Source organism: Homo sapiens, chromosome 2 (genome assembly GCF_000001405.40).
Source record: "Homo sapiens chromosome 2, GRCh38.p14 Primary Assembly".
In the NCBI taxonomy this organism is placed as follows: domain Eukaryota; kingdom Metazoa; phylum Chordata; class Mammalia; order Primates; family Hominidae; genus Homo; species Homo sapiens.
This window is the reverse complement of record NC_000002.12, coordinates 9467134-9479158: the sequence shown is the minus strand read 5'-3', so window position 1 is coordinate 9479158 and position 12025 is coordinate 9467134. Positions and strand designations below refer to the sequence as shown.

Sequence of the window (12025 nt, the reverse complement as noted above, 5' to 3'; positions counted from 1 at the left end):
AGTGTGCAGTCTCCACCGATACCTGTCATCTACGTAATCTTTCTCCTAGAGAGCAAGAATTCCTCTTACTGCAGTTGGTGTTCCTTCATGTCCAGCCTCAACTCAGAGGTCTCCTACGGTGTGCCCGTGAATAGCAGACCACAGCACTTCTGTGACACAAGTAGGGTAACAAAAGAAATCTCTGGAAGGTGACTACCTAACTTCCCAAAACAAAGGCTGATTTTTCTCGTCGATAGCACGCAGAAGGCTTTTTTCAAGAGTAGAAGGGGAAGAAAGGCCTCTTACATGGCTAGCTTTCCTCTAGTCACAGCAGCAATTCTTCAGCAGTCAAGGAGAGACCATCTCCTTTTCCAAACCCACGTTCACCATTGCCCAGGATTCAAGCCTAACTGAGGTCAGGGTGGCTGCTGCCCTGACATATCCCTCCCTAAGACACGCCACCAGCTGCCATCAGTGTGATGCAAGCCACAAGGTATCCTTAAGCTTTCTGCTGCCAAATGCATCAACTAAAGAGAACACATTACAAACTTAGCATAGCACTAACAGACTCTAGAAAATATTTAACTGTTTGCAAGATTAGGACTGCCAGCAACCAAGGTATGTAGAAACTGAGTCAAGAATAAAATCCACCAGTGTTAAAGCCAGGAATACATATAAACAACATAAGTTTGGCAAAACTGTATCTATTGGGAGAAAGTAAACAGTTGAAAAAAGTATATTAAATGCAAGTTTGCTGTAACATAAAAATGATTAAAAGTGAGCTAGAAGAACATCAAAAATGCTTTTACCTTTTAGTGCACTGTCATTGGCCCCAAAGAAAATTGTAACTGCTACTGGGATGTCCAAACTGTTTCCTTTCCTGATTAATCTTGGAAGGATAATTTTGGCCCACCTGGTATTGTAACCTGAAAATCCACGATTCAGAACATCACATTTTCTGAAACGAAAAATTTTAAAAAGATGAATTGTGGGCAAGAAGTGTTTATGGTCGCAGTAACCGGCCTTTAGTGAGGGTGTGCTCTCTGGGATTCTAAACCCGTCACGTGTCTCTGAGCCACCCCCAGGTTTCACTTTGATAGGAGCAAGAACATAGCTGAAGCATGCTAATCTTAAGCCATTCAAAGATACAGGTAAATACACCATACTCCTCCGTGAGAGAAGTAATTATATATAAAGGGGCTGTGATGAAGTCTACAGACTACCTGACTTCAAGCATGGTATAGTGAGGTGCTTTTAAAATGGAGTTCACAACAGATAGATAATCTGAGCAAGTATCTCAGGTAAAAAGTCACTAATATCCTGGAACTTAAATAGTTTAGTTTGGTTTATATTTAAACAGTCTATAGAATATTTGAGATTTCTGGTTTTGATTAAATAGTTTTAGTAAATACATTCGTTGTGTTTCAACTTAAACCGGTTAATACTTTTTGTTTCCTTCTTAAAAACAGTTGGATTCACAGTACTGTAGGTGTAATGGGGGAAAAAAAAAAAAAAGCCGGGTTGCCTGGATTTGTTTCTCGGCTCCCTGTGTGACTAGGCGTGACCCTGGGCACGCTGTGCTCCTTCCTCACATGTAAAGTGAGGAGAATCCCAGTTAAGGATTCGCATCAGGCAGTAGGTTTGAAACCCCTCAGAGAATACCAGTCACATAAGAGGGACTCTTTTTTTCTTAGTCTTGGTAAAATGATATGATTTGGGATTTGCTTCAGAATAATCCATAGGAGGGATGGATGGGCTCATTTCACTCTTTGCTTCTGTAGATATTTAAAGTTGTCCATAAAGTTTTCTTAAAATGACGCCTGGGGTTCAACTTATGATTAGTAAATCAATATGGTTCATTTTGCTGTATTCACATTCCCATACATGCATAACCAAGCAGAGAAGCTGGGGCACCCGCGGAGAACTGCAGGCCACAGCGTCAGGCAGCGGCTCCAAAGCAGCACAAGGGGACACTTTCTGACACTGCTCAAAGTTCTCAGGTGGCATTTATAAACTGCAGAACCACCACCGAAACTCAGCCTTATTTCTAAGAGATTGTTTGTGTGTGTAATGATTATAAAATGCGACTAGCCATTTTACAGAGTGAAATCACAATACTTTAATGAAGTGCTGGGCTGGGTGTGGTAGCGAGTGCCTGTTGGTCCCAGCTACTCAGGAGGCTGAGGTGATGATGCCTTCAGCCCCAGAGGTGGAGGCTGCAGTGAGCCCTGATCACACTGCTGCACTCAAGCCTGTGTGACAGAGTTGTCAGGCCTCTGAGCCCAAGCTAAGCCGTCATAACCTGTTACCTGCACGTATACATCCAGGTGGCCTGGAGCAACTGAAGAACCACAAAAGGAGTGAAACAGCCAGTTCCTGCCTTAACTGATGACATTCCACCATTGTGATTTGTTCCTGCCCCACCCTAACTAATCAATCGACCTTGTGGCATTCCTCCCCTGGACAATGAGTCTCAGGAGCTCCCCACAGAGCACCTTGTGACCCCCTTCCCCTGCTAACAATAGATAACCACCTTTAACTGTAATTTTCCACTACCTACCCAAATCCTATAGTACTGCCCTACCCATCTCCCTTTGCTCTTTTCAGACTCAGCCCACTTGCACCCAAGTGAATAAACAGCCTTGTTGCTCACACAAAGCCTGTTTGGTGGTCTCTTCACGTGGACGCGCCTAACAAGAGACCCTGTCGCAAAACAAAAACCACCAAAAACCAAAACAAAGTGCGGTAGAATTGTGACAAGGTGAGTCTTAAGTCATGGCAGCACTTCAAAAAAAGGCAAAGTAGCTTCCTACCAGTGTGGTGTAGCAGTGAAACTGCAAGTTCTGCAGTCATAGCAGCTGGACTTGGATCTGTCTGCCCCTGACTAGGGAAGAGGCCTTGGCCATTTCCTTGATTTGTCTGAGTCTACCCAGCCATCAGTGCTCAACCCTAAAATATCTAATTGGTCAGACTGAGTGAAGAGTAAATGTTTTCTGTTCCTTCTCCTATATACTGATTAGGGGAGGCAAGCAAAATTAATAAAGGAGGAATGTTCTGTTCAGAACTATCCTTCATCCATAAGACGGATCCCTAAGACATTTTCCATCCATAAGAACTCAAGTATCGGAAACCATTCTCACCTGACCAGCCTGTCAGCCAGCGATGCTCCCCATCCACCCTGCTGGAAGGAAAACTGGAGGAAGAAAAGCCCATTATTACTACTAATGACTGTAACCGGGCATCTCAGCGAGGGCAGTTCTGATTGGCAACTTCTGTTTTCTCGGCGCTCCCTTCTTGGCTTTGATTGCTTCACTCCAGGAGGTCATTTTGGGGATTACAGGTAAGTACACCTGGCAGCACTTTAGCAGAGGGGGATTTTTCTCTATCAAAAGCTAAACAGCCTGTATTCCCAGCACTTTGGGAGGCCAAGGCGGGCGGATCACATGAGGTCTCGAGTTCGAGACCAGCCTGGTCAACATGGCGAAACCCCGTCTCTACTAAAATTACAAAAATTAGCCCGGTGTGGTGGCGCACGTCTATAATCCCAGCTACTCGGGAGGCTGAGGCAGGAGAAACGCTTGAATCCGGGAGGCGGAGCTTGCAGTGAGCCGAGATCGCGCTACTGCACTCCAGTCTGGGCGACAGAGCGAGACTCCGTCTCAAAAAAAGAAAAAAAGAAAAAAAAAAAAAAGCTAAACAGAAATCTAAGTTCAGGAAATAAAGTCAAAGGTCAGTGAGGAAATGAAGGCCACACCGCCTCACTGCTTTGCTGGTTACCGAGCTGAGGGTGAACACTTTTTCATACACATTCCCATGGAATTCGGCAGCTCTGACTGCCCCATATGCCTAAACATAATGTTACCAGTTACTGGCGTATACACAAAAGCCTGGTGAAGCAAGTCCTGTCTGAGAAGAGGACACACACAGGAATGGAATTTCTACTCCCTCCCCGAAGTAAGAACCTGCATTTAGAAGACCGTTCCCTTCATGGGAGGTGAGATGATCTTGGATGAACGGATGGTCCTTTTCTACCTAATTCCTGAAGGCGTTTTACTTCCAAGGTCAACCCCTAACGGCCCCACCTGTGCCCGCAGGGAATGGGGCGAGAGAGCTCCTGGCGCCTCTGCCCGGAGCTGGCCGCGGGGCCTCCTGGGACACAGCGCGCGGTCGCCCGCGGCCGCTAACCCGGACCCGGAGGGGAAAGGCCGCTGCCCAGGAGGGCGCTGAGGGGAAGACCGCGCATCTCGACCCGGGTGGGAGGCGGCGCGGGGCGGGCAGCGCGGCCGGGTCCCCTCGCGTCTGTGCCTGGAGCCCGGGCTCTCGCGGACGCCGTCGTGACCTCCGGGACGCCGCGGGCCCGGAAGGCGCAGCCACTGGGGGACCCGCCACTCCTCCGGTGTCTCCACGGGCGTGGCCAGGCCTCCGGCCCAGCCGTCTCGGGCGCCGAAGAGGACGGCGAGGAGCCTCGGCCTGCTCGGCAGCGACCCCGCAGGGAGGCCGGGGCGGGAGGCCGAGCGTCGGGGCGGCCGTACCTGGGTGATGGAGTCCCCGAAGAGCAACAAGCGAGGCCAGAGCAGGGCACTCCCGCAGCCCGCGGCCTCGCACAGCGCCATGGAGCAGCCGGGCGGGGCGGGGCGGGGCCGCCAGCCACGAGAGGCGCCTGCGCAGTGGCCGCCCGTGGGTTGCGGGAGCCGGGCTCGTGGGCACCCACGCAGTCACTTTGGTGACGCGCGAAGGTCGTTGCCCCTTGGAGTCCGTTTGCAAGAAGCTCGGCCTCCGCGCTTGCTCACCCACAGCAAGGCTGCCCCCAGGGAGTCCGGAGCCCGCGTCCCGCTGCGTGGTTCCCGGAAGAAAAGCGGTTGGGGGCCCTTCTAAGCCCACCCCGCGCTCCGCGGGCGCAGGTGCGTTCGGCAAAGGGCAGGAGTGTGACCTCAGGACGCGCGGCGGGAAGCACAGCTGGCTCTCGGTGGGGCGGAGGGCTGCTCCAGGCCCCCCTGGAAGAGGTCGTGGGATGCGCGCGCGGCCTCCTGCGCCCAGCGTCACTCTGGAGGGCCTGTAACACCCACGAGGACGCAGGCACTGCGGAAACCCTGGCAGTACCTCGTGGTTCTGCGAATGACAAGGGAAAGCAGCTGCACCTTCAGTGCGCGCGCAGCCGGCCGCTTTTCTTTTTCCCGCCGTGGGGTGGATGCGCAGATGCAGAACCCCGCGGACACGGAGCACTGACTAACTTCCAAGGGATTCACCTGTTAAAACGTGGTTGTAATGCAACGTTCTTACCTCAACTGTGCAATGAAGTTCGGCAGCCGAGCTAAAAACGAACGGGTGGGAAGGATGCCTTGAAATCACGGAGCTGTAGATGAGTAACAGAAGGGCCAGGGGCGCCGGCGCAGAGGCCGACCCCGCTCCCTGGGGCGGGGCGATGGGCGTAGAGCATGACTTTCTTTAGGTTGCTCGTCCCAAGCTCGCTTGGATCACCTGGGGGAGCTTTACAACTAAGATCCAACCTAGGGCCCTCATTCCAGCCGGACTAACTCACCTCCTGGTGGCAGGACTTGGGCACAGGTGCACTTGTGATGCACCCCACGTGATTCCCACGGGTAGCCCAGATTGAGAGCCCCTGCTAGAGCAAGCAAAGGTGCCTGGACTTCATCTTTATCACAAGGACTTCATTAAGGCCTTCAAGCAGCAGAGGCTTGAGGCCAGGTCTGTTCCAGGAATCAGCTATAGGGGAGGAGATGGAGGTGGTTGCAGGAATTCAGAGGGGAGAGTAGACTTGGACTCGAACAGCAGCAGTGGAGATGAAGACAGAAAAGATTCAAGTGCAACTTAGAATCCTTATTATTAACTCAAATTGGTTACCCCAGAGGAGAGGGTAACCAGCAGCGGTTGCTATCGGCAGATCTTGATGGTTTCAATGGGAGCTGCACATACATGCCTGGAAGAAGAATCCAAAATTCTAAAATAATGGGCAGTTGATCTAGTAGTTAGTTCTAGAATAATGGACAAATTAATTAGCAATTTAGCAGTATTCAGGCTGTTGAAATAAAGGCCATTTGACATTAAAAGTAAACAGGCTCCCCCAGAGAAACGAATGCATTTTATTTTAGGTAACAAAAGTAGAGTCAAGTATTTTTTCAAAGTTCATATACAGGCACAGTCTCAGTGAACTGGCGTCAGGGCCTCGTACAGTCTCTGTGCAGCCAGCTCCACCATTTCTCGGAGGGATTCATCGTCTTCACTTCCCTCTTCACATTCTACAGTCTGAAAGTGAGGCACAAACAAGACTGTTAGAATTAAGTCTATAATGATTATATAGAAGATAAATGAATACTCTTTAAAAAAACCATCATCTCATAAAAAATTAGCCAGCTGTGGTGGCGTGTGCCTGTGGTCCCAGATAAGAGTCTGAGGTGGGAGGATCACTGAGCCGGGAAGGTTGAGGCTGCAGTGAGCTGTGACTGCACCACTGCACTCCAGCCTGGGCGGCACTGCGAGACCGGGTCTCAAACTAAAAAAAAGAACAATCATCTGTGTGTGCAGAGGTCATGGTGGGACTGATTACCATGAAACAGAACGGCCGCCCTACACACTTGTGGGCGTGCAGTGCTTCCTGACAGCAGCACGGTCCTAATTAGTGATGACTTGAGGCTGGGGTGAAAGACTGGGGAAAGTCTAGTAAACTACATTTACATCAAAGCCCACAGTTTGATCTAGTAAATGATACTCCAGGGAAGTTCATCTATGCCACACAAATTACTTGGCAAGGAATGGATGTGGCTATCTACTCAACATTTGGTACTGAATTTGACTGAAACTCACTAATAATCTTCTAGTTGCTTCTTTTTTTTTTTTTTTTTGAGACAGAATCTCGCTCTGTCGCCCAGGCTGGAGTGCAGTGATGTGATCTCAGCTCACTGCAACCTCTGTCTCTTGGGTTAAGGTGATTCCTGGGTTCTCCTGCCTTAGCCTCCCAAGTAGCTGGGATTACAGGCACACCACCACGCCTGGGTAATTTTTGTATTTTTAGTAGAGATGGGGTTTCATCATGTTGGCCAGGCTGGTCTCAAACTCTTGACCTCAGATGATCCACCCACCTTGACCTCCCAAAGTGTTGGGATTACAGGCGTGAACCACCACGCCTGGCCTCTAGTTCTTTTTTTTTTTTTTTTTGGAGACAGAGTCTCGCTCTATCATCCAGGCTGGAGTGCAGTAATGTGATCTTGGCTCACTGCAACCTCTGCCTCCCTGTTTCAAGCAATTCTCCTGCCTCAGCCTCCTGAGTAGCTGGGACTACAGGCAGCTGCCGCCATTCCCGGCTAATTTTTTTTGTATTTTTTAGTAGAGATGGGGTTTAACTGTGTTGCCCGGGCTGGTTTTGAACTGTTTGGAAAATCCACTTGGATCTTGCTGGTGCAAACAGAAGAGCGGCTTCTTTAAAAAATGGAGAGTCAACTAGATGCCAAACTAGAGAAGGGATGAGGTGAACTAAGCTGTATTATGGAAGAGGACAGCAATGGAGTGGCATACACGCGAACCTTGTACTATGCAGTAACCCGGAAAAACACGGAAAACTTCAACCATAATAATATAAAAAGAACAATGTGAAAAAAATGTTGGAAACACTGGAAGCAAATGCCAATATGCAACAGTAGACTGTTGAGTGTGAGAGCACAGATTATTTATGCCTTCACTTTATTTCCCAAATGTCTTGAAACGTAGGAAAGAGCAGCTACATACCCGTGTCTCCAAGTTAAGGTTGGCAGTTTTCCCGTCCACTGTGACGCTAAGAATAGAGTCATCCTTTACACTTACACAGTCTTCTCCAAATATGTCCCTGAAAATAAGCAGAAATGCAGGATTAGTGAAAATGCCCGGCTTTATATATTTGAGGAAAAAATAAAACTGAAGATAGGTCCTAGTTCTAAAGCAGAATACTGTATTTACTTTTTTTCTTTTTTTTTTTGAGATGGAGTCTTGCTCTGTGGCCCAGGCTGGAGCGCAGTGGCACAATCTTGGCTCACTACAACCTCCGCCTCCCGGATTCAAGTGATTCTCCTGCCTCAGCCTCCCTAGTAGCTGGGATTACAGGTGTGCACCACCACAGCCAGCTAATTTTTGTATTTTTAGTAGAGTCAGGGTTTCACCATGTTGGCCAGGCTGGTCTTGAACTCCTAGCCTCAAGTGATCCACCTGCCTTGGCCTCCCAAAGTGTTGGGATTACAGGCAGGAGTCACCATGCCCAGCCTGTATTTACTTTTGAGACAAGCTTCTTATTTGCCTTGATACAGCTTATTAAGTTTATAAAACAGGGAAAATACACAGCTTTATTCAAGAATGATCTATTCAGCAGGCATCATGCTAGGTGGTTTATATACATTATCTTAACCTATAATTTTAGTAAGGATCCCCTTTTACATGTGAAGAAAACAAGACACAGAAGTTAAGTGATTTGCTTAAAGCCTCACAGCTAGTAAACAGCTGAGCCGGCATTCAAATCCAGGTATCTAGGTTTAAATGGCTCCCAAGCCCACTAGCTGTGCACTCCTACTTTAATTAAACTTGGTATTTATTGAGCATCTTCTGTGTGGCAGATTCCTTCTGTGCTAGTAGCTGGGGATAAAGAAGGCACTAAGACATTGCCTCTGTCATCGAGAGAAACAGTTTTGATGGTTAATTTCAACATCGTCCCCATTGGTACAGAGGTGTTAGGAAACAGCAGTCCACCAGCAGGCTGAATGCAGGTAAGAAAGGCAGGCAGTGACTCTAAACAACCCATGGACCATGGTCAGCCTAGGACAGTTAAGCACTGACAACACTGTATTAAGCGGGGGAAGTGGGGAGTGGGAATCAACTCCTTGCATCTTCAGGCAGTTACTGCTCATCATATGTGTGAATAAACTTAGGTGGGACCCTAGCACAAAGGAAAAGATTATATTTTATTTTATTTATTTATTTTGAGACGGAGTCTTGCTTGTTGCCCAGGCTGGAGTGCAGTGTCCCGATCTCGGCCCACTGCAACCTCTGCCTCCTGGTTTAAGCAATTCTCCTCCCTCAGCCTCCTGAGTAGTTGGGATTACAAGCACCCACCACCACACCTGGCTCATTTTTGTATTTTTAGTAGGGGTATTTTGGATGGGGTTTTGCCATGTTGGCCAGGCTGGTCTCGAACCCCTAACCTCAAGTGATCCACCTGCCTTGGCTTCCCAAAGTGCTGGGATTACAGGTGTGGGTCACCACACCCAGCCAAAAAAATTATATTTTAAACACAGAAATGTATTCAAAAGGATAGGAAAAAAGGTTCCATTTTCATGTGATCCACTGTTGGCTTCTCTGAAGAAACCAATACATCTACTCCTATCTAATCCTAAGTGTTTAAACAACTGGGGAAATAGCTGCATTTTTAAGGGTACGATTGGCTTTGAAGTTTAAGGACATGGGAACCTCCCATTCCTGGCCGAATGGAAGCTGTCTCATACTCCTGTTCCTCAGAGTTGAATAGTTCTGGTGTGTTTGTGGGAGGTGAGGGAGAGGGAGGGGAGGCGGGAGGAGTGGTGTCAGGAGGACAGGGAAGAAGGCCAGAGTGAAAGTCCAGTGGAAGGGCCGCAGCCTCCCGCAGACTGCCCTCCCCACGGCTCCTGAGGACCAGCCACAGCAATGTGAACTTCCATTCTGCACCCCGACTGCAGCACGTGGGAGAGCGGGGCCAGTCCAGGGCCACACGGGTTTTCTATTCTTGTAGAGCCCCAGGGAACAGGGCCGCCAACAGAACTATTGTAGTCAAGTCCCTGGTCAGCAACACCCACCTTCTACAATAGGGCTGTTTAACCGGGGGTCCCAGGATAGCCTGTGGGGAGGGGGTTGTCTAACCTCCTTGAAATCAAAGGTAAAACTGCATATATGTGTGTCCCCTGCCCCCGCCCCACAGCCTTACCTGACTGCCAAAGGGGTGAAGGATCTAAAAATGATTAAGATACTCAGACTTCAACGCTGGCAGACTTGAGCCCTCTGCAAAATGAGTTAAGAGAACCAGAGGCTCCAGGGGTGGGAACCAGTAAAATCTCTGGCCTTTTCAACGGCCATGGTAATCACTGTGCCTGCACTGTTGGCTGGTTTTGTATGAGGAATGCTCTTTAAAATCAAAATGACAACACAGAGAATACTGTTTTGAAGATGTATGACAACTTCTATAAACAAAGTCATCATTTAAAGTCTATCATTTTTTTTTAAAGCCACTAAACTGCTGCTTTAGTGGGCCGGGCACGGGGGTTCACACCTCTAATCCCAGCACTTTGGGAGACCAAGGCAGGTGGCTCATGAGGTCAGGAGTTCGTGACCAGCCTGGCCAATATGGTGAAACCCTGTCCCTACTAAAAATACAAAAATTAGCTGGGTGTGGTGGGCATGCGCCTATAGTCCCACTTGCTCGGGAGGTTGAGGCAGGAGAATCGCTTGAACCCGAGAGGTGGAGGTTGCAGTGAGCTGAGATTGTGCCACTGCACTCCAGCCTGGGCGACAGAGTGAGACTCCGTCTCAAAAAAAAAAAAAAAAAAAAAAAAAGGTCAGTGTAGAATTTTGGGGAAAGAAAGGAAGGAACAGAAATGTTAGCATAAAAGCCTTCTAAACTAGCAGGCCACCTTACTTTGTTAAACCGTTTCATGGGGCAAGGGCTCACATCTGTAATTCCAGCATTTTGGGAAGCCAAGGCAGGAGGATCCCTTGAGCCCAGGAATTTGAGACCAGCCTGGGCAACATAGGAAGTCCCTGTCTCTCCAGAAAAATAAAATTAGCTGGGCATGGTGTTGCGAGCCTGTGATCCCAGCTACTTGGGAGGCTGAGGCGGATTGCTCGAGCCTGGGAGTCAAGGCTGCAATGAGCCAAGATCATGCCACTGTATTCCAGTCTGGGCAATGGAGCAAGACTCTATCTCCCAAAAATAGAAATAAAATAAAATAAAATAAAAAGAAATACTTAGTTTAAAGTTAATTCATCGCTTACAGACTAAGAAGAGTCTAGAAGAACACCATTTTACAAAGAATTCACATTTAACAAGTAAATATATAAAATAATTCTTGAAGATACAGTAACATTCAGCTAAGATTTTTGAACTTGTCCTTGATGAGAATGTTTTAACGCTTGCTAACTGTGCCAGCCCTGTGCCAGCATCCTGAAGCACTGTATTAAATGAAACACAAACGGCTGACCTAGCAGGTCACAGGTGAGTGCAGAGCTGGCAGGGAACGGTTCCAGCCCCTCTCTTTCCTAACAGAGAAGCAGGCCTCCGAGCATGGCAGTGGCCTGGCCAGAGCCACGCCCCAGTCCTTGAAGGAGTCAGAGCCGAATCCAGGGCTCCTTCCGGCCGCTGTCACTGTCTTGTTGAGAAATAATGGGTGAAAAACTTACTGGAGCATGATCTCCAACCTCTTGCTGTAAACGTGCATTTCTAATTTTTTAGAAACCTTCTGTACTGCACCTGGGAAAAAAAAAAGCGACAGAGAGTTCAGTTTCTAAATTCCTATTCAGAATAATTTCCAAATCAATAATCAGAATCTGGTTACTGATAAGTTAAAGTGAATAACTATGGAATCCTTAAAGTGACAAGCAGGGATTTGTATTATTTGCCTGCTAAAGGAAATGGATATTTTCATCATTTAATTTCATGTTCTTTTTATGTGTATTTAAAAAAAATTTTCTATTACATCTTTTCACCCTTTCTCCAATATTTCATGTTCTTATTAAAGAACCACAAAATGACACTTAATATTATTTTTAGTTTTATTTCCCACATTTCTTAAACTTTACATTTATGACCACGGGCAATTAACTCCAGGAATTCTAGGGACATATTCAAGCTCAAAGATCTGTGAAGTCTTTTATCTAAAATGTGATATAAATTTAGCTTTCTATTAGATATAATTATTTTAATAAAAATTAATATTTAAAATGACTTGCCCATTAAATTACTCAGCTTTCCTTCCAAAACAAATCTGACAGCTTGGGAAAATGGGCCCCCCTTAATCTGGAGTTTCAGGCATGCTCTGACCCC

The 12025-nt window shown here is 47.6% G+C and overlaps 2 protein-coding genes across 26 annotated transcripts in view, besides 4 other annotated features; both read right to left on the bottom strand.

The window, feature by feature from the left end:
- The window catches only part of IAH1 (isoamyl acetate hydrolyzing esterase 1 (putative)), a 38597-nt gene extending 33250 nt beyond the window's left edge, over positions 1 to 5347 (bottom strand). For 8 of the 20 annotated variants that reach the window (XR_007073106.1, XR_007073105.1, XR_001738721.2 and 5 more), the window contains exons 1-3: positions 4512 to 4608; positions 3120 to 3172; positions 789 to 937 (exon numbers count right to left, since the gene is read on the bottom strand). Coding sequence is in view for 2 of the 20 variants with exons in the window: in NM_001039613.3 (NP_001034702.1) it covers positions 789 to 937; positions 3120 to 3172; positions 4512 to 4592 (283 nt within the window). In the remaining 18 variants the exon portion in view is untranslated. Of the gene's footprint in view, positions 1 to 788; positions 938 to 3119; positions 3173 to 3941; positions 4105 to 4511; positions 4609 to 5259 lie in introns of those variants that run through there. The other 12 variants (XR_001738723.2, XR_001738724.2, XR_426953.4 and 9 more) reach the window with 6 other exon arrangements.
- Positions 2989 to 3549: an enhancer, noted in NCBI's record as "OCT4-NANOG hESC enhancer chr2:9615739-9616299 (GRCh37/hg19 assembly coordinates)". NCBI's record gives its function as "activates a minimal SCP1, AML or CMV promoter by ChIP-STARR-seq in naive and primed H9 embryonic stem cells {active_cell/tissue: H9 hESC(naive and primed)}" and the evidence as "EXISTENCE:reporter gene assay evidence [ECO:0000049][PMID:30033119]".
- Positions 4030 to 4797: an enhancer, noted in NCBI's record as "H3K27ac-H3K4me1 hESC enhancer chr2:9614491-9615258 (GRCh37/hg19 assembly coordinates)". NCBI's record gives its function as "activates a minimal SCP1, AML or CMV promoter by ChIP-STARR-seq in naive H9 embryonic stem cells {active_cell/tissue: H9 hESC(naive)}" and the evidence as "EXISTENCE:reporter gene assay evidence [ECO:0000049][PMID:30033119]".
- Positions 4030 to 4836: a biological region, named in NCBI's record as "H3K27ac-H3K4me1 hESC enhancer GRCh37_chr2:9614491-9615258".
- Positions 4067 to 4836: a silencer, noted in NCBI's record as "silent region_11134". NCBI's record gives its function as "represses an Ori minimal core promoter by ATAC-STARR-seq in GM12878 lymphoblastoid cells {active_cell/tissue: GM12878}" and the evidence as "EXISTENCE:reporter gene assay evidence [ECO:0000049][PMID:35858748]".
- Positions 5348 to 6057: 710 nt separating the features above from the next.
- The window catches only part of CPSF3 (cleavage and polyadenylation specific factor 3), a 49448-nt gene continuing 43480 nt past the window's right edge, over positions 6058 to 12025 (bottom strand). For all 6 annotated transcript variants that reach the window (NM_001321834.2, NM_001321836.2, NM_001321833.2 and 3 more), the window contains 3 exons: positions 11383 to 11452; positions 7720 to 7816; positions 6058 to 6243 (listed from right to left, as the gene is read on the bottom strand). In NM_001321834.2, the coding sequence (NP_001308763.1) occupies positions 6142 to 6243; positions 7720 to 7816; positions 11383 to 11452 (269 nt within the window). In that variant the 3' untranslated portion in view covers positions 6058 to 6141. The remainder of the gene's footprint in view (positions 6244 to 7719; positions 7817 to 11382; positions 11453 to 12025) is intronic.